Source organism: Homo sapiens, chromosome 16 (assembly GCF_000001405.40).
Source record: "Homo sapiens chromosome 16, GRCh38.p14 Primary Assembly".
In the NCBI taxonomy this organism is placed as follows: Eukaryota; Metazoa; Chordata; class Mammalia; order Primates; family Hominidae; genus Homo; species Homo sapiens.
This window is the reverse complement of record NC_000016.10, coordinates 11,019,790-11,046,872: the sequence shown is the minus strand read 5'-3', so window position 1 is coordinate 11,046,872 and position 27,083 is coordinate 11,019,790. Positions and strand designations below refer to the sequence as shown.

The 27,083-nt window shown below is 45.6% G+C and overlaps 1 protein-coding gene and 1 pseudogene across 40 annotated transcripts in view; both read right to left on the bottom strand.

Annotated features, from left to right (window-relative positions):
- Positions 1-27,083, bottom strand: part of CLEC16A (C-type lectin domain containing 16A) — a 237,623-nt gene that overhangs the window by 135,314 nt on the left and 75,226 nt on the right. For 38 of the 40 annotated variants that reach the window (NM_015226.3, XM_005255214.3, XM_011522434.3 and 35 more), the window contains 5 exons: positions 26,548-26,680; positions 21,952-22,052; positions 6,997-7,119; positions 4,510-4,619; positions 2,801-2,845 (listed from right to left, as the gene is read on the bottom strand). In NM_015226.3, coding sequence (NP_056041.1) covers positions 2,801-2,845; positions 4,510-4,619; positions 6,997-7,119; positions 21,952-22,052; positions 26,548-26,680 — 512 coding nt within the window. Of the gene's footprint in view, positions 1-2,800; positions 2,846-4,509; positions 4,620-6,996; positions 7,120-10,780; positions 10,849-21,951; positions 22,053-22,301; positions 22,551-26,547; positions 26,681-27,083 lie in introns of those variants that run through there. The other 2 variants (XM_024450219.2, XM_017023090.3) reach the window with 2 other exon arrangements.
- RPL7P46 (ribosomal protein L7 pseudogene 46) lies at positions 18,312-19,912 on the bottom strand (annotated as a pseudogene).

Below are 27,083 nucleotides of genomic sequence, written 5' to 3'. Positions count from 1 at the left end.
AGTATAATTAAATAAGTTTAACATTACAATTACATGGCTTGTTCTATTTGTTTATGAGGAGTGCTTTCGGGGTTATGTTGTTCCTCAGGGTCATGACTGCCTGGGAGGGCCCCTTCAGAACAGCACGGTGGGCATAGTCTTGGTTCTGATACACATAACCAAATCCAGCTTTACACCTCTCGCCTCCTTGTTCCACTGCATGAATGGCATGTCTGTCTAGGGTATTGTGAAGATGAAATGAGTTAATGCACATGAAATGCGAGGAGGCACAGAACCTGTCACTCGTTCAGGGTTGGGTCAGTGTGAGCACTCACTGTCATGGTAATCTCTACTGGACAATGACCCTTAGAACTGCTGCATCTCTCTCACAAGTTCTGAATGAGACACACACACACACACACCCCACACTTGGGGTGGGAAAGGGAATAGATCCTTTTTAGGTTTTTTCAGTTGTCAGAACTACAACTAAATTTGAATATTCTTGTGTGACATAACTACCACCACCAGGAAAGACAATTCCTGAAAACATCTAAAAGCTGCTGAGAAATTATACTTAGGGTATAATAAATGTTATGGGATAAAAGTAAGAAAAATCTGGGTTGGGAGAAGGGATCCAGAATTTAAATAAAGCTCTCCTTTTGTTAATAATAAAGAATAACCCTCTGGGAAAATGCCTACCTATATGTCTTTCTGTTTTTGCAATCCAAAAGCTTTCTAGAGGACATAAACTTAGGGCAGTTATACTGGAAAGAGGTTCAAAGATGACTAATGCAACCCTGAGGTTTCTGCTTTCTCGTGGGCTTTGCTAGTGAGGGTGTATCCTCACTTGGAGGCCAAGTGCGGTTTGGGATGTTCTAAGGGGAAAGTGGGATTTCCTCCTCAGTGTGTAGGGGCCCACCACGGTGCCACCCTTGTCTGGGTATGTCCACTGCTGCAGCTGGATGGGGTCATCTGAGCCTGGCAAGGTCGATCTCCAAATCATATAACCTCATTTTATCTCAACAAACACTGACAATAATGCAGTCGCTTAAAACGATTCCTGCAAAGAAACAGCAGCTTAAAGAGGGCTTGAATAATGAAAGTACAGGGGACAAGGAAATGGCAGTGTTGCCACCTTCCCCATGTAGGAGGATCTTCATCAGCCACGTTAAGAGGGGAAACCATCACTCGCAGGATCTGCAGAGACCTGATCCGGAGGCCAGCAAACTAGAAAATGACTACTTGACCTATGGATTAATCCACCATGGCTGACGAGTGATGAGCCTTCCCTGAAAGACACATGAGGCTGGCAAGGCCTGAGTGTTTCTGCTCCCCACCACCCCCCACCACCCAAATTCATATGTTGAAATCCTAATTCCCAAGGTGATGGGATTAGTAGGTAGGGCCTTTGGGAGGTAATGAGGTCATCCAGTAAGATGGTGCCATCTATGAGAAAGTGAGCCTTCACAAGATATCAAATCTGCCTTGATCTTAGACTTCCCAGCCTCCAAAACTGACAGAAGTAAATTTCTTTTTCTTCTTTTTTTGAGATGGAGTCTCACCTATCACCCAGGCTGGAGTGCAGTGGCGCGATCTCAGCTCACTGCAAGCTTTGCCTCCCCAGTTCATGCCATCCTCCCACCTCAGCCTCCCGAGGAGCTGGGACTACAGGCGCCTGCCACCATGCCAGGCTAATTTTTTTTGTATTTCTTAGTAAAGACAGGGTTTCACCATGTTAGCCAGAATGGTCTTGGTCTCCTGACCCTTGTGATCTGACCGCCGCAGCCTCCCAAAGTGCTGGGATTGATTATAGGCATGAGCCACCATGCCCGGCCCAGAAGTAAATGTCTATTGTTTATAAGCTACCCAGTTTATGGTGTTTTGTTTTAGCATCCCAAATGGACTAAAACATATGCCTTAAAAGCTAAAACAAAACCACGGCAATTAGTTTTTTTTTTTTTTTTTTGAGATGGAGTTTTCGCTCTTGTTGCCTAGGATGGAGGGCAATGGCGCTATCTTGGCTCGCCGCAATCTCTGCCTCCTGAGTTCAAGTGATTCTCTTGCCTCAGCCTCCCGAGTAGCTGCAATTACACGCATGCGCCACCATGCCTAATTTTGTATTTTTAGTAGAGACGGGGTTTCTCCATGTTGGTCAGGCTGGTCTTAAACTCCCGACCTCAGGTGATCCACCTGCCTCGGCCTCCCAAAGTGCTGGGATTACAGGCATGAGCCACCATGCCTGGCGGCAATTAGATATTTATAAAACCATCTGGAACCTGAAGACAAAGCTCTGCAAATTTTTCAGATACTGAAAGTCATGGTGGCACTTTACAAAATCTCAATAAACGTTAATAGAGGTTTAGAAGTCTGTATAAGGTTTCTTAGCACATATCAATATAAATAATATACATGTATATGGTTCATAAATTCATATGTAATTCATAAGTAATTTTATATGTGTAAGCATATATAACTTATGAACATAAGTGCATCATATATAATTTATTTATATGTGTTTATACGTACGTAGTTCATAATTTACATATAATTATTCCCAAATAACCAAATCCATGTATTACTGAGAAACAAATTATCATATACTGGGGCTGAGTCCTCAAAAATTTTACTGATAAGACAGCTTGGACAGAAAAGTTTAGATATTGCTACTCTAGGGACTATGAAATTGAGCATTTTTATTCAGTAATTATAGGCATAAAAAATAACTGAAGACATATAACGTTTATCTGCATAGAACCAGACACCACACTTCTGTTTCTACAATACACACCATGCTGCTGTCCATCTGTGCTCTGCCAATTACCTTATAAAAATGTCGTACAAGGTGAACACTTTCTTCTCTCGCACCCTGTTAAAAGAGAAGGAAGGTGTGAAGGAGGCAGGTCTCATATAGGTGAGCAAGTCGGGCAAACTACGAATTCTAAAACATGAGTGTGTATAAAACAGATCTGGACTAATATCCTTAATGTATAAAATGGTGTTTTTTTTTTTTCCCTTTTCTTGAGATGGAGTCTTGTTCTGTCACCCAGGCTGGAGTGCATGGAGTGCAGTGGTGTGATCTTGGCTCAGTGCAACCTCCGCCTCCCAGGTTCAAGTGATTCTCCTGTCTCAACCTCCCGAGTAGCTGGTATTACAGGCACCCATCACCATGCCTGGCTAATTTTTGTATTTTTAGTAGAGATGGGGCTTCACCATGTTGGCCAGGCTGGTCTCGAACTCCTGACCTCAGGTGATCTGCCCGCCTCGGCCTCCCAAAGTGCTGGGATTACAGGCACGAGCCACCATGCCTGGCCTATAAAATAGTTCTTAATGAGAGAGAGAGGAAAGGAGACAGAGCTCAAAATGAAAATGGGGAAAGGATAGGTAATTCGATTGTAATGGCATGAGAAGCTGTTAATATACAGTTAATTGGGGGAAAATGGGTTATAAAATATGGCCATCATGACTCCTTTTTTATTTTACTTTTCCAAGACAGTCTCAATCTGTGGCCCAGGCTGGAGTGCGGTGGTACAATCATAGCTCACTGCAGTCTCAAACTCCTGGGTTCAGGCAATCTTCCAGCCTCAGCCTTCTGAGTAGCTGGGGTTACAGGCATGTCCTGGCTAATCTTTTTTGTTTTTTTAGAGATAGGGTCTCACTATGTTGTCCAGACTAGTCTCAACTTCTTGGCCTCAAGTGATCCTCTCACCTCAGCTTTCCAAAATGTTGGAATTACATGCATGAGCCACTGCACTTGGCCCAACTACATTTGTATAAGACAAAAAATTCATTTGTAAGCATGTGTGTGTGTGTGTGTATATATATACACAAACATATATACACACTTATAAATGAATTTTCATTTACATATGTAAATAGATGTTTCATTTACATATATTCACATGTACATATTTACATATTACATATGTAAATATACGTAGTGTATAATATTTACATATTGTATATGTAAATATACTTCTTTATATATATAATTATTTGCTTATAATACTTAAATATATTATTTACATATATAATATGTGTGTGTGTGTGCACAGACACAGACAAAATGTCAACTATAGTTGTTACTTTTACCTTTCTACTTCCTAAATTTTCTAAAATAAACATAGAAAATAAGAGGTACCATAAAAGCCACTGAAAATTTAACATATATTTTAAACACAAAAACCATAATCAATGTGTGTATGTGTGTTGATGTGTTTGTATGTGCAAAAAAACTTTTGTAATACCAAAGAAAAAATTCAGAAATCCTGAGGACAAATACAGAATCAAATAATTGCAACAGAAACTACTAAAACTCAATTAAGTGGACTCTTCAGCGAGTCTCGGCTGAAAGGAAGTCCCTGCTGAATAAGTAGGTTGGAGTGGGGTCTCAAGAGAGCAGCCCCTGCTGCTTCTAGCTGGTGACCGATGACACCACGGGCCAGGGCTCCTATCTGGATGCCAGCAGCTTCCCTCCTGTCCTCCTGTCCCTCTCCCTTGGCCCACAGGAAGGAGGAGCGGAGAGGGCGTTACCTCCAGGCAGGCCAGGTGCACGTCCTTCATGATGCAGCCAGCACTCATCAGGACTTGCTGCTTCAGAAGCAGGCAGCTCAGCTCCAGCGTCGCCAGCCGGATCTTCCCATCTGCAGAGCACACCAGGGTAAGCCTTGCACACCCAGGGTGGGGCGCCCTTAAACCCAAGACTGCTGCCTATCCACGTTGAGGCTAGCAGGTCACATGATAGACCAACTGCTCATGGCTCCCAACATCCAGTGGGGACACAGTGGGAACCCCCCATGCCCAAACCATTCCCCATCAGTTAGAATTCAATGTTCTCCATCAAAACTACCTATACCAAATACTTCCCTGAAGTCCCTTTACTGACAGGGTGCAGGAAAAAGAGGGTGACTAAACACTGTTGAGGCCTGGAAAGTGGCCCTGCACCCCCACTTCCTTTAGAGAGCCGCCAGTCCCACTCTGGGTCATGTGATTTGGGTGGAGCTGATCCTCCTTCCCCGTTCCAGGGTTGGGCACATCACCTGGCCAGTTGGGGTGCTCCATATTCCCTTGGTCCCAGTGACTAGGTAAGAACCAGGCAAGGGAGCCAGTCAGAGCCAGTAAGGCTCAACCTCACAATCTGCTGGAACTGCTGGGTTAAGAGAAATTCTCCTTGTGCCGGGCTGAGCAGAGGACCGTGGTGACGCCCTGAGGGGCACAAGCATTATAATCTATATCGGCCACCTCCTCACCCTTGCCAGCATTTTTAATCTTAGTAAAGTATTCTACAAATATCACTTCGAGATCTCTCTTCCAACTAGACTGTTCAAATCTAAGTGTCTCCCGTAGAGTAAGTCTAGAGTCTCAGTGCAGAAAGGGCTAGCTGGAGGGGCTGGCATTTATCTCGTCAACCCAGAAGGTGGCAGAGGCCAAAGGTAGAAAAATACTGTTTGAGCCCCTGGATCCAGCTTTGCCTGAAGCTAGGCCTCAGCAGTCTTTATAAGCTAACACAGCTTTGTCTGCTTGTATTGTTTAAGCCAGAGTGAGTCGGGTTTCTGTCAAGACCAAGAGAGCTCTAACACAGCTTACTTACTATGCTATTACTTACTTACCACTGTGAACGAGGCACAGTGCCGAACACTTTATATAGGTCCTGAAGGAATCTCTATAAAAACCTATTGCAATGAGTGCTGGAAAGATTGAGGCTTAGAAAAGTGAAGTGACTTGTCCTAGGTCTCATAGCTGGGTAGTGGTAGACTGCAGGTGCTCAGAAAGCCAAAACCCGCATCTGGCATCTCTCCTAGAAGCATCTGTAACTGACTGACTGAAGGACAACTGCTCTTATGCAAACTCCTCTGTGGGTCTTTCAAGTTTATTTCTGGTGAAAGGTCCCACTGTGGAGAGGAGGAGGCCTTCAGGCTATGCCTCTAAGGCCTTGGAAACATCAGAGACCACGATAGGTCACTGGGAAAAAACTAAAGGCAGATACACCCCTCTGCCCACCTCCCTGCCAGTCCCTTTGTTAATGCATTGTAAGTCAGGTGAAAATAAGTGAGAAAAGGGGATCTGCCTAAAAAATGAAACAGCAGGCCAGGCGCAGTGGCCCAACCTTGTAATCCCAGCACTTTGGGAGGCCGAGGTGGGTGGATCATGAGGTCAGGAGTTCGAGACCAGTCTGGCCAACATAGTGAAACCCTGTCTCAACTAAAAATACAAAAAAATAGCTGGGTGTGGTAGTGTGCACCTGTAATCCCAGCTACTCAGAAGGCTGAGGCAGGAGAATCGCATGAACCTGGGAGGCGGAGGTTGCCGTGAGCAGAGATCACTCCATTACACTCCAGCCCAGGTGACAGTGCGAGACTCCATCTCAAAAAAAAAAAAAAAAGAAAAGAAAAAGCGCTATCACAAAAAATAGGTCTTCCCAAACATAATACAAGCCCCAGGGATGACCAAGGACTGGGTGGTCTCGGCTCCATCGGCTCTCCTGGCCCCACCCCACTCAGCCCCAGCACTAGCGTAACCTCTCTTCAGCTGCCCAGTCCAAGTGAGTTTTTCTCCAAGCGCATTCTCACTCCTACCTGTTTCCATACCTACCCACAACTGTTGCTGGTAACAAAACTCTGTCTCCTACGTCTACTGGCCCGTTAAACCTTCGAATGTTCTCCCCTCACTCCACTGTCAGCCTAGTTCTTTCTCATAATATTACCTTGGGCCACCCAGACATAGCGGGGTGGGGGCGAAAACATTGACAATCTCAGCAAAAGAAGGGCGGGGTGTGGAAGAAGAAAGATGGTTACCAAGTGGCAGGGGATGGGATGGCAAAAGGAGACCCAGAGCTAAGACACAGTCCCAGCAGGCAGGAGGGCTGGCCCAGGATGCAGGGGTTGAGAGGCAGAGGGAGAGGTTGGGATGGGCCCGGATTCTCAGAAGGCTCAGGCCTAGCACCCAGGGCTCAGGCTCCCAGTGGGGTCTGCTTCCTACAACTGCGTGGCCCTGTGGACAGACAACACCCCAAGTGGGCACCTGGCTGGGCAGCGTTGTTCATGATCCTGATGAGTCTTTCAGCTAGCGGGTGGTTGTAGGTGGTCTTCTCGGCCGCATTTGGCACGGGGAGCTGGATTCGCTCTAATTTTTCAGGATCCATGCCTGGAACAGAGGAGAAGGATGTAAGTGGAGGCCTCCTGACTACCTGACCTCCTCATACCGAAAGGTCCTGTAGAGTGGGGTTTCCTCAACTTCAGCCACATATGTTCCCTCTTGGTGATTTCTTTTCCTTTTTCTTTTCTTTTTTTTAGTTTTTAATAGAGACAGGATTTTGTCATGTTTCCCAGGCTGGACTTGAACTCCTGGGCTTCCCCAAGTGCTGGGCCTCCCAAATTGCTGGGATTACTGTTGTGAGCCACTGCGCCTGTCCCCTCTTGGCAACTGCTGTCATGACTGGTTGCTGTTGGTGCCATAACTTATCGCAGAGCTCTCCATAAACTGAACTTACATAAATGTATTAAAACATACATTTTCTATTTCTTATAAATAGGAAATCAGGATTGATGCAATAATTGCCAGTAATAATATTTTAAAAATCAAAAAATGTTTTTGCATGCTAGCCAATGACTTTTGACTGCCTACTCATGGTGGCCCAAGACCTGATCTTTGTTAAAAAGGGAGGTTGGCAGGTACTTAATAGTGTTGGAGAGAAGCTAGCCCCAAATGGTGGCATTCTCCTAGACACAGGGAAGGGAGTAGAAAAAGGGGACACCATCCCATAGCACAACTCACTGCCACTGTGTGCCAGGTCTGAGGGCCACCTGAGGCCACTCCCGTATTACGCACCTTCTACGCTTGAGGAAATCCAGGCCTAGAGAAAGAGAGACTAGACACGAAGGAAATACAGTCATCCCCAACAATTGTGCCCTCAAGCTTTTAATGACAAACTCAAAAGCTGAGCCCCACCCTCAACACATGTAGGAGGAATCAAGTTGTGAGCCAGGTGAGGCAGAGGCCACGCCTGCCCCTGAGGGTGACATTAGCAGAAAGACACTAAGCTAAGCCTTTCTTACAGAAAGGTGCACATATTAGGTTGGCACAAAAGTAATTGCAGTTTTTGCCATTAAAAGCAATTGGAACACCGCAATTACTTTTGTGCCAACCTAATACAATGACACCAATACAGCAGAGATCTATCATTAAGAGGCAAGGGAATCATTTTTCCTCCAGTGAAAATTCAACAATTCTTCCTGCCAAAACTAACAGCATTTGAAAGATAAAATATTAGATGGGGGTGGGGAAGGTAAGTGGGAAAGGAAAGAAGAACAGGCAAGTGTGTGACTTTGAGCCCTGTTGTCATTTCTCCTAAAGAAGCACACAGGACCTGCAGTGACAGAAGACCTGTTAGGGCTACTAGAACAGTTCCTGCCTGGAGTAAGAGGTCTTCAAACTCCTTATCTGCTCAACTGACGTGGCTCTTCAAAAATACACTTACAGAAACAAATATTTTGCTTGATCCAAGCTTGGAGAACTGAATGGATTATTTGCGCTTGTACCACGTCTTTTCCTGTTACTCTACAAAAGGGGGAAAGGTGGCACTTCTCGGAACTCTTAAAATACGGTCCCTTGAGTACCAGATGACGCTTCATTTAGAACCTTGACAAAATAGTGGAAGATAGCATTGAAGAGATGATTGTCTGGATTCTAAGTAACTCCTGCACATGCACATTGATGTAATAAGAAGTAACAATATATCTTGCTTTTCTGAATTCCTTCCAGCTCCCAGAAAGAGGCTAAGTCATACCAAGGAGATGACCTGGGTGAGGGACGGCCTAAAGACTTGAGTAGGGTAGTAGTCTCTCTCATGCCCCAAAACGCCCCACAAATGTGGGTTTCCTCAAAAAATTTCATTGCAGTGAAAATTTAATTTGTGGCTTCTGTATCCCATGTTAATGCTAAATGTGTAACTCTGAAGGATTCTGGCTTATTGAATGGCAAGAAGAATGTCAACTGAATCTTTCTGGCATTTGTTTTTTCCAGAGATGTTAACACTGTCCTAACATCTCTCTACTCGTTAATTTCTGGCCCTTTGAGAACTGCCAGTCAGTGGTTCTGGGGGTGGGGGTGGGGGTGGGGGTGGGGAATAAAAGCTCCTCTGTGTCCCAGGTGCATTGCCCAACTTTATAACCCATCAGCAGTCACTCCGCTTCAGAGAGGATAGCAGAAAGGGCCTGGCTGCTCGCTCCTTCTAGAATGGGGCAGTGGCCACAGAACCATGGAAAGAGGCAAACTAGGACCAGGCCTTGAATTTCCAGAGAGAGGTCCATTTTGTTTCTTTCCTATCATTGCCCCTCCGTCTCCTTAGAATTTGTGGACAGTGAGGAAATCTGGGGCAAGCTCTTTTCTTGACAGGAAGAAAAGCGTCCCAAGATGATCTCGACTTTTCTCAACTCTCCGTGAAGGGAAGGTCCCAGAGGATAGAAACACTTCTCTCTGTACCAGGTTCCAAGTCCAGCCTTTTCCTTTCATGAGGAAGTTAAGGCCCAGAGTTGTTATGTTGTTTCCCCAAGGTCACAGAGCAAGTCAGAGACACAGCTCAAACCACTTTCAGGTGATCCCGAAGGTGGGTGGGGTCCAAATGGGAAAGGGTGGCAGCACCCACACAGCCAGCCCACCAGGAGCACACAGGGGGCCCGTCCTCTTGGGCTGACAAAAGCCACCCCTCTGTGTCCCTGGGCTCACCCTCTCTTAGGGGGACAGCTGGGTACAGCAGGAATGAGAAGCCTAGCGGTGGGGTGCGGGAGGAACTTTGTTTTGATACTTTACCTCTTTGAACCTCAGTTTCCTCACCTGTGAAGTGGGAATAATTATGGTAACTACCCGCCCCACGACTGCTGTCAGGATCGAAAGAGAAAAAGCACTGTCACAGGCCAACAACTTTATCTCTCATTATTATGCACAAATGGGAATTTTTAGTTTGAGCACTGCTTAATGCATGGATGAGAATTTTTAGTTTGAGCATGACTTCATGTGTTTCCTTATCATTCGTGTTATAAAAGGAAAGTTAGGCCGGGCACGGTGGCTCATGTTTTTAATACCAGCACTTTGGGAGGCCAAGGTGGGCAGATCGCCTGAGGTCAGGAGTTTGAGATCAGCCTGGCCAATGTGGTGAAACCCCGTCTCTACTAAAAATACAAAAATTAGCTGGGTGTAGTGCACATGCCTGTAGTACCAGCTACTTGAGAGGCTCAGAAATGAGAATTGCTTGAACCCAGGAGGCGGAGGTTGCAGTGGGCTGAGACTGCGCCACTGCAGTCCAGCCTGGGTGACAGAGCGAGACTCTTGTCTCAAAAAAAAAAAAAAAAAAAAAAGGAAAATTAGAACAAAAGAACACAAGGATAAAACCTAACAAGAGCTAAATCAAGCTACAGACAGCCCAAAAGAGGCATGCTGAGCTGCTGGGGGCCCCTCTCAGGGGGCGAGCTGCTCAGGTTGGATCCTAAAGGATGAACAGGAGTTTGCCTTGAACTGGACAGGGAGGGCCAGGACTTGCCAAACCAAGGTGGGACTGCAGGGAGTGGAGCAGACCCAGAGAGGTCTGGGTGGGAGAGAGCCGGGGAGGGGGTGATGAGGTGGAGGATGGGGGAAGGGACAGGCAAGGCTTCGTGCCAGGATCCTGGAGGGTGATGCAGTGGAGGGGCCCAGGAGAGGCAGCTAGCGGGCCGTAACATAATCTGGTTGTGCCCTGGCTGACTGGGGTGGTTCCATTCCCCTGACTGTTCCAAGTGGTCTCCATGCTTCCGGCCCTTTACCCCAAACTGACCTGCTAGTGCCATGCAGTCCATGTGAGGTAGATTTTACCACCAGCCCTGGGAGGCAGAGAGCAGAGGTGATTCCACACAGCACACGGCAAAACTATATAACAGAAACCCCTCTGAACATCTCCCTTCTTTCCCCAAAGCTCCTTCTGGGCCAGGGGCCCCATTCTCTCTCCCAGCTCTTTTTCCCACCATGGCCTTTAAAATCCTCTCTTTGACTCCAACTATCCAGTGTTTTGAAGGAGGCCTTATCATTTACCAAAATACTCAGTCAAAACAAACAAACAACAACAAAATCACCAGTCTCTCTGGGGAAGGACAGAGTGTCTTTGGAAGGAAGGAGGAGAGGATTCTGCTAAGATGACAAGATTGCCTTCGCATGGTAAGCTCTGAAGAAATGGTGACCATCAGCCAGGCATATGACGTAGAATGCTTCATTTCATCCTCATGACATTCCATGAAGTGGCTAATAGTATTTCCATTTTATAGACGAGGAAGCTGAGGCTCAAAAAAGACATGAGCTTGCCTGGGGTCATGTGGAGAGTGGAAAGCCCAGCCCTGAATGCAGCCATGTGGCTCTTACCTCCCTCCTCTCTGCCGTGTACCATGATCCCCGCTGGTTAACGCTCTTTCCCTCCACCTTCCCAAGCTATGTATGTCATGTGATCTAGTGGTGTTCTTGGCACAAACACAACAGTCCATACATTTTTGCTGAATTAATTTTTTAAAAAGTTAAGTAGTTTTGATCAAATTTCGGGCAGAAGATTAGACAAATCTCAAAATGAAGGGGAAACATACGTAAAATAGAAGCCACCATATGACAGCTGTGCAAAAAAGCCCAACCATCACCCACACAGAAAACATGCTAGAAAGAAATACGACACTGTCAGCAGTTGGTTATTTTAAGGTGGTACTATCAAAGGCAAGTGAAAAAGCAACTTATTCTCATTTTTGTTTTCTATAACAATCATTGCATGACCATCACTGTACTTAGGATGGCATTTAATTTGTGGCGAACATTAGATTTAGGTTTAAGCCTCCTGCCTGAAACAACCTGGTGGCTGATGGTTCTGAGTGGCTAAGGTCAATGTCACCCTGTAACAGGGGCATGCATGTGAAAGGTAAGACGGCTCCTGTGTGCAAGGACATACACACAAACACACACACACACTCATACACACACAGACACTCATTCACACACGCATGCATACCCCGTGGTTTTTGGTCACAGAAAGGCAGGTTTTGCTGCAAACCCAATAGCTTCTTTGCCAGTCATTTCCCTCTGACAGAAATAAACACTGTGGATAATATATTATCCTATTTGCTTCAACTCTTAAGTGCTTTGTGACAGACAAATTCCAAAGAAACCCTGCTGCACTTCACGGGAGCACTAGCTCATTCTGGCTTCCAGCAGACCACATGTTCCCTGCCCCGCCCACAGCCCTGCCTTAGGGGTCAGAGCCTGAGCTGCCCACCGACTCAGAACGGGTGTCCCCTGTCCACCCGTGGACAGGGGTGGAGGGCGGAACTCTCAACTAACTCATTCAAAGAATCCAAAACAGAAGGGAAGGGTGTGGCCCCACAGTGTCAGTAACTCTTACTAAGCTTCCCTCTCAGTTCTGATATCTGGATTCTTCCCCCTTAGTAGTAGCCCCCATTTAGGGTAGAGAGGTAAAAGACCCAGACCAAAGATGCATAAGAATAATTAGACAGATCTGGATAAAGACACCACGAGAACACCAGGTAAACAGTTCAAACTTTTTAAAAACGTCTGTTGACCACACAAAGTCTCCTTGGCTGCAGTCACACAAGTATTACCAGCTTTGGAAGACTATAGACCAAAGATTTCGAAAGCTAACCAGATGTTGGGCCGATTTCCAATGTACTTCTAATTCTGGTTATGTGTCAGCCAAGATCCAAACTGACGTTGTGCAAGTTCTCCGCATGGCAAAAGCTTCCCTTTAGCCTATTACCTTTCAACCTTTTCCATATCGCTCATCCATGTTCCATTAACTTCTCAGCAAAACAAAACACAAAACACAAAGAGCCCAAGACTCCTTCTTCCTGGGTAAACAATGACAAATGGAGTGGCAGGAGTAGAAGGTTGGTCACTGAACTGGGGAACCTTCAAGATACAAAAGCTGTAAAACTCACCCCCATCCCTCCACCTCTGGCCCAGGACTCAGCGGACTTGATAGAAGAGCGAAGGCTGCATTTTCTATTACAGAAACAAACCAGAATTCATTATGTGGCCCAACTGAATCACAACAAGCGCCTTCCGCCAACCGGTCAACCCTTTCCACTGTGGGATATTCATTTCGGTGCAGCATCTAATCTATTATGATTACTGGAAGGCCTGAGCTCACATTTGGTTTTTATGAACGTGGCTTTTATGTTAAAATTGACTATGAGGAAAAAATCTATGAGAAAGAGACCAGGTCACTTGGGACCTGATTTGGGGGGTAAGGATCTGGAAAAGTGAGGCTGAAGGTCAAGTGCAGCCTGATCAGCTGCTGCATAACCAAAAACCAATCACTCAACCAACCTCCACCAGCAAAGCCCCACCAAATGCAGACTCTGTGCTCACAGGCCAGGACTGAGCATAAACCAGGTGGCAGCTCCCCCACGAGGCAGCTTCCCCAGGCACCTGGGCCTCAGGGCACCGGACTTGAACTTTTCCGTTTCTTCTCCAAACCTACTCCAAGGCCCATGCTTGTTAGTTCTGGAAATGGCACTATTGGTCACACAGGGAAAGGAGTCAGGAACCTGAGCCTTACCCAGGCTCCTCCCTTCATGCCCCCTCCTTTCAAATCAACCAGAACCCCTCACCCCTAGCCTAGTGACTCTCCTTGTCTCCTCATCCTAGTAAATGCACCCCCACCATTGCTCAAGCCAAATCACAGGAGTCATCTGACTCGTCCCTTTCACTCGACCCCTACATTCAATCCATCAGCACGTCCTGGCTCTAGCGCTGAAATAATCACAAGTCCTTCCAGTTTCCTCTACTCCCCAGCCAGCAGCCTAATCCAATCCACATTATCTCGCCTGGATGACTGCAACAGCTTCTTAGCAAGTCTCTCGGTGTTCCCTCCTGCAACTCATCCCCACCCCCAGTCATCTACTTTCTGTCTGGTAGCCAACGTTTCTTTTAAAAACTTCCATCTGACCACATCACTGTCCTACTTAAAAATTCGGTAGGGGTTTCCCATTGCACTTGGAGAAAAAATGGCAATTCCTCTTCAGGGCCTTCAAGGCCCTTCATGACCTGGCCCCTGCCCGCCTGGCCAGCCTCACCTTGGCCCACTTTCTGCTCCTTCCCACCCCGGGGCCTCTGTACATGCTGCTCCCTTCACCTGGAGGACTCTTGCCCCAGGTCTTTGCAGAGCTGGCTCCTTCTCACTCTCTGGGCTGTGGCTCTGCTGGTCCTTCCTCAGAGGAGCCCTCCCCGACCACCCTGACTAGCACCTAGTAACCCCTGCAGCACAACCACTAGGCTTCCTCATCACTCCACCCTGTTCATTTCCTTCTACCATTTGTCACAGTCACAATTAATCTTCTTGTTCACTTCAGTGAGACTCATCTGGGCTTGTTTGAGTGCCTATGACGGGGCCTTGCCCTGGCAAGCGCTCAGCAAGTATCTGCTGAATGATAAGAAAGCCTCTCAGTTTCACCTCTCATCCCTCCCACCCGCTGGCTGAATTACTGCAAACCCATTCTGAGAGGTGCAGAGTGGGTCAGCTCACTAACTGACCAACTGCCCCCCAGCAGCCCCACACGGCTCATAGGAACACAGTTCAGTCGCTGCCTGTGCCACCCCCTGCAGACTGGCTCCAGATGCCTGCCTCTTGGGGCACCCGCTGCCTCGGACATGCTGCCACTCACCCTAGGGAACGGGCAGTGATCTGATGGATATGCCACAGGCTCTCATGCCCCTTCTTGCTCTGTCCTCTACCATAGCCCGGGTGTCCTCAGGAAACGGGTCCTCACTCCTGCGGGCAGAGTCCATGCTCACCACCAGGCAAGTGACCCTCTATTGTGCTGACAGCCTCCTCGTAGGACTTTTCTGTCCAAGAATGACTGATGCTTTCTTGGGCAAGGGCCTGGGTTGGTCTGCCTGGAGTTTGTAGTCCCCATGTTGAGCACACTGCCTGGCACACGGCCGGTGCTCCACATGCATTTGCTGAATAACTAATTACATGAGGAAATTCATCAGAAACTGCAAGCTATTCCTCCTGATCACTTAAGCCTCCAAGAGGCCTCTCCTGATTGCTCAGGCGGATGTAGTACCCTCTACCCTCAGCCTGCCCCACCGCATTACCTAGTTTTATTTTCACTGTTGCACTTCTCGCTACATGGGATTATTTTACTTGGTTACTAGTTTACTGTCTGTCTCCTCTAAGAGAATCCAGATTCCATGAAAGCATTTGTTTGCTTCACCACTGCATCCCCAATACTGATCCCAGTGCCTGGCATCTAACAGGGGCTTCCAAAATATTTGTTGGAAGAATGAATGAATCAATACATGCATAGCATTAGCAGAAAATGGGAGAAGGAATTCAATTTCCTTGAATATACAGTTCTACTCTTCCAAGAAGAAATTCCCAAGAAAAAGAGGTAGGATGCCCAGGCGGGAACACAGGTGAGTGGTCTCTCCAGCGCATAAGATGGATGAAGGTGCATGGCAGCACACCCAGTAAGCCATGACGTCTCTGCTCCCCGTACAGGTCAGGGCTGCAGGAAGGAAGCCCATGGAGAACACCAGTCACCAAGATGAGGAGCTTGCCCACTGTCCCATGGAGCCTGGCATCTACACCACACAGACAGCACCTTCTTTGCTGAAGCCCTGAGCTACAAGCTGCCAGGAAGAGATGGCCTTGGGGACGTGCCACATAGCTGAGCAGCAACCAATCAGCAAACTCTGGCTGAGCACTGACTGAGTGCCAGGCGGTAGGCTGGGTACTGCAGGGAGCACATGGTTTCTGCCTTCCAAGGCCTAGCAGTCCAGAATGGGAGAGAAAAAATACAGAGAAAAGGCGGTATTAAAAAGTGCCACAGGAACCTCATGGAGATTAAAAAACATCTGGTCTTCCCAAGATGTTGTTATGAAAATGAAAAGACATGCCACAGACTTGGGGGAAATCATTGCTAAATGCCTCTGATAAAGGACTTGCATTCAAAATACATAAAGAACTCTCGAGGCTGAGGCGGGTGTATCACTTGAGGTCAGGAGTTCGAGACCAGCCTGGCCAACAGGGCGAAACCCTGTCACTACTAAAAATACAAAAATCAGCCGGGCGTGGTGGCGCACACCTGTAGTCCCAGCTACTCTGGAGGCTGAGGCAGGAGAATTGCTTGAACCTGGGAGGCGGAGGTTGCAGCGAGCCAAGATTGCACCATTGCATTCTGGCCTGGGCAACAGAGTGAGACTCCGTCTTAAAAGAAACAAAACAAAAAAACCCAAAAGTCTCGAAACACAATATTTTTTTTACTCAATTCAATTTAAAAAACGGGCTAAGGATTCGAAAAGACTCTTCACTAACAAAGACATGTATGGCAAAAGAAACACATGAAAAGATGTTCAATGTCATTAGGGATATGCAAATTAAGATCATAAGATACCACTGCAAACCTATTAGAATGGTGAAAACTAAAAAGGTGGCCACACCAAATGTTGGAAAGGAGGTAAAGGAACTAGAACTCTTGTACACTGGTGATGGGATATAAAATTATATAGGCATCTTGGAAAACAGTTTGGCAGTATCTTAAAATAAAAGCAAACATACACATATCTCCCATAATTATATGGGAAATATGATTCAGCCATTCCATTCCTAGGTATTTATCCAAGAGAAAAGAATGTATATGCTCATACAACTCTCTGTATGGGCATACATTGTATGGGGCCACACAAATGCTCACAGCAGCTTTGTTTGTAATAGTCCAAAACTGGAAACAACCCAAATTTCCATTAACAGATGAATGAATAAACTGTGGTATGTTCATATAATGGAATGTTACTCAGCAAGAAGAAATGAACTACAGATACACACAACATCATGATGGATCTCAAAATAATTAAGTGGATTGAAAGAAGCCACATGAAGAGGAGTACATGTTGCATGACTCTGTTTATACAAAATTTTAGAAAGTGCAAAACTAATCTAGCATGACAGGAAGCAGACTGGTGTTACTTGGGGAGAGGGGTGTGGGAAGCAAGGGAGGGGAATGAGGAAATGTTTGGGATGCTGGATTATACACTGCCTTGATCATGGTGATGATTTCACGGGTATTTACATATGTCAAAATATTAAATTGTGCACCTTAAATATGTTCAGTTTATTGCATATCAATTAGACTTCAATCCAACTTTTTCTTTAAAGGTGCTATGCTTCTGGCCAAGATGGACTGAATTTATCCTACTAATTCAGGCAACTTAGAAAGCAAGACAATATATACAAAACAATGGTTATCAGACTCTGGATGAACAGGCAGCATAAGAGAGAGATCCCTGAGAGGGAGAAGCACAAAGGCAGTGGCCCAGTGATTGCTCCAGCTTGCTGTCCAGTGAGAGTATCCGGGCCTCAGCAAAGGGATAGAAAACCCAAAGACTGTGGTTCTCTCAGAGAAGGCAGAGTCTGGAGTTCAGGGAGATCAAGGGGTTAAAATTCATGGACAAGATAAATGAAGAGAGAGCTGCAGAGAGAGAGCTCAGACATGTGCAGAGGGTTCCTTTAGAACCTTGCTGTGTTCTGGTCTGTGCATGCACATGAAGAAAGGGAAAGACCTGCCAGAATGAAGCCTGTGGAACAATTCCTGGAGCTCACACTGGGGGGGCCAGTGTGGAGAGACCACCTCACCATGGGACACAGTAGAGTCTCAGAAGGGTAATGTCTCAGTAATAGGGCGAAGTTAGCCCTAAACTGAAGGCTGTCTGGACCAGCTCTCACAGAGCTTAAAAGCAAGCCTCAAAAAAGGATCAAACCAACTCCAATTAACTGAACCATCAGCCCAAAAATATTTACAGGAAGAATCCAGCATCCAACTGTGAAAAACCACAGTAACTGTCAACCAATCAAAAATGACCAGGCATGCAAAAAATGGGGGAAGGAATCCAAAAGCAGGAGAAAAATCAATAAGAGAAACACAGCTAGAAATTATACACATGACAAAACACAAGAAATCAAAAGGGAAACTGTGTAAAATTTTAAGCTGAATGAACCTCATATGTTAAAATTTACTGGATGCAGGTAAAGCAGTGCTTACAGGGAAATTTATAGCATTAAAGTCATAGAGAAGAAAGGTTTAAAAATCAATGACTGGAAAGGGAATAGCCTGAGGGATATTTTTCTGATAATGAAACTGTACTATCTCCTGATTAAGTGGTGTTCACACCTATCCATACATGTCCCAAAATTCACAGAATTAAATACAAAAATGAGTTAATTTTATGGTACGTTAGTTTAAAAAAATAAGCTGATTTGCTTAAAAAATCAATGATCAAAGCTTCCTACGATGATTAAAATCAATAATTAGAGCTTCTTTTTTTTTTTTTTTCCACAGCAGAGACAAGTGAACCTTTATTTTTATGCCTTTCTTCCTATGTGTATTTCAAGTCTTTTTCAAAACAAGGCTCCAGGACTCTCCAGATTCAATTATGTCCTTGGGCTTGGTCGACTGCTGCAGGAGTCTTAGGGAGCCTTGTACAAATGCTAGAGTGACTCATTTACCAACATTAAACCCTAGGATAGATGCAACAAAGCAGGACTCCTTCCTCCATGGAATGTGCCGATTTCAGACGACGCAGCACCCAATGTAGAAAACACTGGAATTTTTCCTTGGAACTAGACTCTGATGAGAGGTGCTTGACATGAACATAAGCTACTGTCTTTTCTTTTTGTTGAGACAGAGTTTCGCTCGTTGCCCAGGCTGGAGTGCAATGGCGTGATCTCAGCTCACTGCAACTTCCGCCTCCCACGTTTGAGCGATTCTCCTGCCTCAGCCTCCTGAGTAGCTGGGATTACAGGCATGCGCCACCATGCCCGGCTAATTTTTTATTTTTAGTAGAGATGGCATTTCTCCATGTTGGTCAGGCTGGTCTCGAACTCCCAACCTCAAGTGATCTGCCCACCTCAGCCTCCCAAAGTGTTGGGATTACGGGCGTGAGCCACAACGCCCAGCCAGCTACTGTCTTTTCTTTGACCCTTCCTTTCCAGTTTTTGAAGACAGAGCAGGAAATAATCTTCTCTGAAGACACTTGATAAAAATTCCCAAAACAACAAAACACATGCTTCCACTTCATTGATCAAAAATATACTGCAGTTTGGCACCTGGGTCTAGTTCAGCTGGCGGATGAGCTGATTGATGCGTTCACCCCGATAGCCAAGTGTGCCCATCTCCTTGAGGAAGCCCACTCTATTTTTGGTAGCATGATGGGCCACTGAGAGGTGGAAAGGGCGCAAGAACCATGAGATCTCCTGGAAATGCTTCCCTGGGAATGCAATTTCATGAATGAGGTCTTCCAAGCAAATGATGCCAAACTTCCCCAGGTGCTCCTCAATCACTGTGTTGTCTGTCAGAGGGATGGTCTTACTCTTGACCTTGGCTTGTCCACGTTTCAAAATGAGTTCTCGGACAGACTTCAGATTTGGAAATCCCCAGGTCACATAAGTTTCCACTATACGCAGCATTTGTAGATTCTGGGGGGTGACTTTTACAAAGACACCACTAAAAATTTTCTTTAGGCAAAGTCTTGCAATGGTTCTCTGCACCAGTAAACTCACGCCATCAATCCTTTCGATGCGTACAACAAAGGCCAAGGAATGTTTATCTGGCAATTCCACGGCATGAGGTTTCACTTCTAGTCGTCTGAGATGCACCTTGTCAGGTTTCTGCTGCCAGTAATCATGTAGGAATGATTCCAGTAGCTTAAACCTGAGCCCTTTTCCTTTCTTCTGCTCCTTCTTTGCCAAAAGTTCCTGCTTTGCCTGGGTGGCTTTGAGTGCCTGATAAGCCTTCCTCTTTTTCAGGAGATTTTCTGGAACCAAAGGGATTTTTCTTTGCTCTTCCTCCGCCATCTTTCTAGTGGTGCAGCTACTGATCATGCGCAACCCCACCACATGGGAAAGACAGCACGCGCGCTGTTTACTTGACCATAGAGACGTCTGTTCTAGCTCACGCTGGAGGACCCAGTCAGCGTTCACTTAGCCATAGTGAGCCATTGAGGTCCTGCTAACCCCCATTCCTGCCAAAAGTTGCACCGCTTCCAGGGTTTTTAGAGCCTGTGTCATTTTTAAAACCCAGCCCTTTTCTTGTAAGTTACAGTTTCATCACAAGCAGCTTGGCTGTGGACAATAAAGTGCTTCCCACAATGCCTAAAGCTTCTTTATAAGAAGTTATAAAACAAAAAGTAAATTAAATTGGAAGCAGCAGAAGGCAAAAAAAAAAAAAAAAAACCCCAAACAAACATAAGAACAGAAATCAACAAAATCAAAAACAGCAGAACAATAGAGGGTAGCAATAAAATTAATAATCCTCTAGCCAAAATGATTAGGAAAAAAAATGAAGACCTAAATTATCAATACCATCAATCAGAGAGGGAACATCACTACAGATCCTACAGACATTAAAAAGATAATAAAGGAAAAACATAAAGTTTATGCCAATAAATTTGACAGTTCAGATGAAATGACAAATTCCTTAAAAGACACAGGTTACCAAAGCTCACTCAAGAAGAAATACGTAACCTTAAAAAGCCCTATGCCTACTGAAGAAATTGAGTGGTTAAAAACCTTCCACCAAAGACAACTCCATATTCAGATGGCTTCACTGGTTTAAGGAATATTTATGGAAGAAATAATACTACAAAAATTCCTCCAGAAAATCAAGGAGAAGATAATATTTCTCAATTCATTCTATTAGGTGAGCATAACCCTGATAGCAAAACCAGACAAGAGAATTACAAGAAGACTACAGACCAGTATCAGTCATGAACATAGATGCAAAAATCCTTAATATCTATGATTTGCTCACACATTGATAAAAAAGAATGGCAGTTCTCTATGGATGTGAACCCATGTGCTGAAATATGATGATGTGAGCAGAGCAAGGTAGAAAGCACAATATGGGTATCTCCATTTACAGCTAAGTGGGCAGTCATACAAATAAAACCATATATACTCCTACTTGGGTTTGTTTGGCTATCTTTAAAAAGACACAAGAGAAACCGGTAGCAGGAACTGCCTTTGAAGAGGAGAGCTGGGGTCAAAGGTGGGAAACTTTTTCCCTATATACCCTTCTGCCACTAATCAACTTATTTATCATGATTAATGATTTAAGAACACATAAACTTAGTTATATCATGTATGTTCTAATGCCTCTAGCCATAGGCTGTCTTAGTAAAACCCAACTCTATCTACTCCCCAATAAGCTTATAAAAAACCTACTAAAATATCACTTGATTTTTTTTACTATGCCAAGCCTAGCTCTTGGCAGGGGTTAGAAGGAATATTCCTGAATTCTTCTTTGAAGAGATTCTGATGTGGAGGTTTCAGAACGTGCCCATGTCAAGCCAGGTGGGGCAAACAACAGTAACTATTCCCAGGGGTCGGCAGCAAGGCGGTGAATGAATGAATCCCAACAAAACCTGTCAACCCCATGGGAGTTGGATCCTGGCCAAGTAGCCTTAATAGGGGAAGCCAGAGAACCACACCTTTCTTCAGAAAGGAAACCTATGCTTCCACCAAGTCCACCCAGGGTCTATTTCAGCTCTGAACACAGAATAAGAACACCAAGTGTTATAAATAGCAAAACCAAGATTACAATTTGACTGATTTCAGTTCTGATGTTAGGAAAGAGGTCAGACGCTAAGTCAGTTGTAAATCAAGGGGTCAAAAGAAAACCACAGGGTGAATATAGTCATCCTGGGTTAGGCACTCAAGTCACCTTCCTCCATATTGCCTGAGTAACCAATTCCTGTGGCTTCAGTTGGTAGAAAAACACCTGAGAAATTCTAAAGAAGCTAAAGAGGAGCGGGAGTCAAAACCAAAAAGGACCACCAAAACCAGAAAGGAAATTCTGTACAGAAAGCACCTTTCTTTGTCCTCCATGCAGCAGAGGGGAAGGATGCTATGGGTATGCAGGGCCCAGCAAGGAAGTCAGGCAAGGCAAGGGTGCTTACCTTTATTATGAGACATGGCATAGAGGAGGCAGAGCACGAACAGGGCATGGTAATCATCATCCGGGCTGTCCAGCGCGTGGTACACCATATCCAGGAAGGGTCTGGAAAAGAGGAGGGGCATGTATGAGCCTCACGGTGCACAAGGGTGAACACCTCCCCTCTCTAACCTGCACATGGGGTGCTAGCTGCCTTTGACACAGCTCTTTAGGCCACAACTGTGTGCCTGGTCCAGCACCACGCACTGAGGACACAGACAAATGAGAGACAGGCTCTGCCTGCGGAAGCCGCTATCCAGAGGGGAACCTGACCAAGGAACAGACTGCTTGCTTAGTCACACAACAATCATTCACCAGGTATTCCAGACACAGGGAATCAATTATACAAACTCCCCACACCAAAGCTCCCGTGTCAGCTGGTAGACACAGAACAAACAGACATCAATGCAAAGTGATGTGTGTCACAAGCCAATGAAGAAAACAGGACAGTGTGATGTCACACAAGGCACAAACAACAATCCAAACAAGTTCAAGAACATGAGCCCTAGTGCCAGACTGTCTGGGTTCAAATTCTGATTCTGCCTCTTCTTAGCTTTTTATTCAGCAAACCCTTGGGCAAGTCACATAAAACCTATTTCCCCATCTGTATGGGGTGGAGTCCAACCTTGCAGGATTATTGTGAGGATTCAAGCGCAATGAAGACTGAAAAGCATTTAGCACAGGGTCAGGCACTGTGGACGGTGCCAATGCATGGGAGCTGCTATTTGATTTCTATTTTTAATATACCAAGGGCACTACTTCATGATTTCACTTTGGCAGGGTCCTGACCCAGCAATTTCTCAGGCTGACTTTCTCTGACTGCGAAGAATCGATAGTGAGGTCTCTCACCTCTGATGCTTTGTGGGTGAGATCTGTAGAGAGGCTGCAAAAATCGGAAATGGCACATCCCAAATGCTGCCTTTCCAGGTGAAGGGCCTCACAGAAAAATACTCTTCAACACCAGGAGAATAGAATATGCACAGGTCTGGCCCACAGGCCAGAGGCTCTGATCCTCCCACTGTCTGTGGCTGCCCCCTCTGAATGCCAGGCTGAGGCCAAGAGAACAGAGCACCTTCATGAGTGACCAAGGGCACATTTAATTTCTGGAAGGACACCCAAGCTCCAATGAACATTGGATGCCTACGGGGAGTGAAAGGGGACTGGGGAGAAACAGGGAGTGTTCACTATATAACCTTTGACACAGTTTTGAATTTTTGACTCTATACATGTATCTCTGATACAAAATATTTCATTGAAAAATGCAAAAAAAAAAAGTAGGAAAAATGTACTTGTCATAACATTTCAAACACACACGTGACACACAAAAACTAAAAAAAAAAAATGAAAATCTTAAAGGGGACATTTATGTTCCATCCCCATTTCTCCACAGCCCCAGATGGGGCACCACCTTTCAGATGTGTTAATAGTTTTGCCATGTGTAGATTTGGGTTTTGAAAGCCTCCAGCAATAACACTTCCAGACTTAGGAGTAGGATAACATTTTCTTGTAAATCAGCTGCTTGAAATTTGGATTATATTTTCATTTGGGAATAATATGAATAACCAAATGCCAATAGCTGGGTGGGTACCATCTTTTATGAGATGAAGTATCATAAAACCATTAAGCGTTTTGTTTACGCAGGGTAGAATAAGGTGAAAAGTTTGCTTGGGAGTTGATATTAGATGGAAAAAAAGAATACAAAATTATAGACACAATACGGTCCAAGCTTCTGGGAGAAGGGAGGGTGAAATTCCCAGAAAGTTCACATCGGAAAAAAAAAAAAAAAAACTGGTAAAAAAAATAACCAAAATGGTAGTCCCCCTGATTCTGAATGTTAGCAGTGAAGACTTTTTCCCCCTTTATGCTTTTTAAGATTTTGCATACTTTCATAATTTTAAACTTTTTTTTTTAAGAAAAGAAACGATGTTTCGAAAGCTTTAAGTTTCTTAGGCCTATATATACATATATATATATATATATATATTTTTGAGATGGAATCTCGCTCTGTTGCCCAGGCTGGAGTGCAGTGGTGTGATCTCGGCTCACTGCAAGCTCTGCCTCCCGGGTTCACGCCATTCTCCTGCCTCAGCCTCCTGAGTAGCTGGGACCACAAGCGCTCGCCACCACGCCCAGCTAATTTTTTGTATTTTTAGTAGAGACGGGGTTTCACCGTGTTAGCCAGGATGGTCTCGATCTCCTGACCTCATGATCTGCCCACCTTGGCCTCCCAAAGTGCTGCGATTACAGGCATGAGCCACTGCACCCGGCCTCTTAGGCCTATATTTAACCCCCAGTGCAGACAGAGCCCATAATATATGGGGAATATAAAAACAGTCTGTTTTTTACCTTGCTGTTTCTTGGGGCAAGTGGACCAACGCCAAGATCCAATTCACAGCCTAGAGAACAAACAGCCACCTTCCTTCCCACTCCCTGCCTCAGGAAGGCTGAGGCAGGAGGATTGGAGGATCACTTGAGGCCAGGAGTTCCAGACTAGCCTGAGCAACATAGTAGGATCCTGTCTTTGCAAAAAAAAAAAAAAAAAAAAAAAAGGTAGCCAGACATGGTGACTCTGGCCTGTAGTCCCAACTGCTCAAGTTGGGGGGACAGAGGGCAGTGGCAGTTTCTTACAAGCTGCAACTCGATACCTTGACAAAGGAGAAAGCTGCTCTCCACCTGGGCCAGTCTCTAACCCGGCATTCAGTCTCACAGTCTAGCAGAAATCTGGCCTGGAGGTTCCCAGGACTGCATGCGGCCTAACTCAAGGCAACTGAATCAGCTTCCATTAGAAGCCATGTGCTTCAAGATGCCCAAAGTTAAGAAACAATCTCAATCAACTCTAAGAAAACCCTTCTCTCCACCAAAATTCAGAAAAAAAGAAGTCATCAACCCCAATATTCAAACATAACATTTTGGTCTGTTTTTTTAACCCTTTTTTTGGTGGCGGGAGAAATACATGGGTGTTTCTCTTCCATTAGCAAAGCCACAGTATTACCATACTACGAAAAGTATGTTCTCTGTTTCCATTTATCAAACCCTAAGGAACTGAACACATCATGACAGTATTCACCTAAAAGCAGCAGCAGATATTCTGAGCGAGAGTCTCATTCTGTTGCCCAGGCTGGAGTGCAGTGGTGCAATCATAGTGCATTGCAGCCTTGACCTCTCTGGCTCAAGCAATCTCCCACCTCAGCCTCTCAAGTAGCCGGGACTACAGGCACCTGCCACCATGCCCGGCTAATTTTTTAATATTTTCGTAAAGATGGGGTCTCACTATGTGACTAGGCCAGTCACAAACTCCTGGGTTCAAGTGATCCTCCCCCCTTGGCCTCCCAAAGCGCTAGGATTTCAGGTGTGAACAACCATGCCTGGCCTAATCCTCCATTAAGCAGATACCTCTTCCTTTGCTTAAGCAACATCCCACTACTGGTTATTTGGGGCTCTTCTAATTATTTATAGTCTAAAGAATGCTGTGCCAAGGTTGTCCCCAACCGTCTGTGTTTAGAATTACTTATTTTTCAGAGCTTTGGGAGTTACATTTTTTGCTGTGAAGCAAAATCTAAAAGGTCTTTGTACTCCACTGTTTTTTTATTTAGCAAAAACTAAAAATGGCTCCCTTGCACATCTGATAAAAATTAATCCCATCTGTTAAGTCATTGAAACATTTGCCAAGCAAAGAGACAAATAAGATGTGGAGGAAAAAAATTAGTGGACTTCACATCTTCACTTGAAGTTGGATTACTAAAGAGGATGGGGGGCCGTGTGTATTTCCACCACCCCTCCCTAGGGGCTGAGGAAGTGAATGCCTCGCAGGCTGACAGAGAAATCCTGGTGTGGTGCATTTATGAACAGGAAGGTAGTGCTAATCAGGAGGCTGTTGCAGGGGTCTGTGCAGTGGGGCTGCGAGGTAAGGAAATAACTCTGAAATGAAGCCCTGCTACCAGCTACCAGCATACGCTGGGAGTAGCCTTCCCTCCAATCCCATTGTGGAGGGGCTGGTGCTATGGCAAGGTTCCAGGAAATGTGGGGTCACCCAGGTTTAAGAAGATGTAGCTACAGATGGCCATCGATGAAATGAACAATCAGGCAAAAAGTCAAAGGTGGATGGCAGCACCAACTCATGTGGCCAAGTCAAGAGGGCAGGCCCTATAGATGGGGTATGTGTTTGTGTGTGCAGGGCAGGGAATGAACCAGGCAGGGAGATCCAAGCCCAGCTACTGAGGGGATCCTTCCTTGGAGCAGCAGAGCATTTCTAGGAGCAGCCAATGTGAAGCAACCCATGTCCTTTAGACAGAGCCAAGCTCCAAAGTGCCAGGAGCAGGGCAGGGAGAGAGTTGCGCTATCCTGGCGAATCTCTTTGCAAAGGAGTGAGCATTACAGTGTTGAGTGATGGCTCCGTCTCCATGCTTCTGGGTGGCCAGAGCTGGAGAAGCAGGGAAAGAAAGGGAGGCAGCATGGTCGGGCTGAGGGACAGAAGAGGCTCTGGCCCTAGGGCTCAACCTCCCCACTGAGCCCTCTCCTCTTCCCTGAGAGAGCACTCAGCATCGACCTCTCGGGCAGCTACCTGCTCCATTGCGTGCTCTCAGAGCAGGTGGCGGCGGCGCTTTTCTCCTCGTCCGTGGTGTTCTGCTCCTGCACGGAGGTGCTGGCGGCCAGCTCTGAGAGCTTGCTACGCTCCATGATCACCATCTCGATCTCTGGAAGCCAAAATGGAGACTGGGATGAGTCCAGACAGCTTTTCAGCCCTAGATTTATACACATGCTCATGTTGGAGAATAAATATGCATAAATGACTCCAAACACATCAAGCACATGTCCGACAGCAGCGACCTGAACACCAGAGACACACTGGGGTGGAAATAAGACAGAGGCCAGAGCCTCTCTTTCCATTCATCACAGCAACACCAAGAAACGTGTTCCTGTCTTTGACAACAAAACACAAATTGCAATCATTTATTCTATTTCGAGAGTTTAAAATCGTCTTTTTTACTTTATTGATACCACATTTCCTTCCCAAAGGATTTCAGGCAGCTGAGAAGATATGACATGTGGTTGATAAACATAATCAACCTCACTGACAACATTCTAAAGCTCCTTACA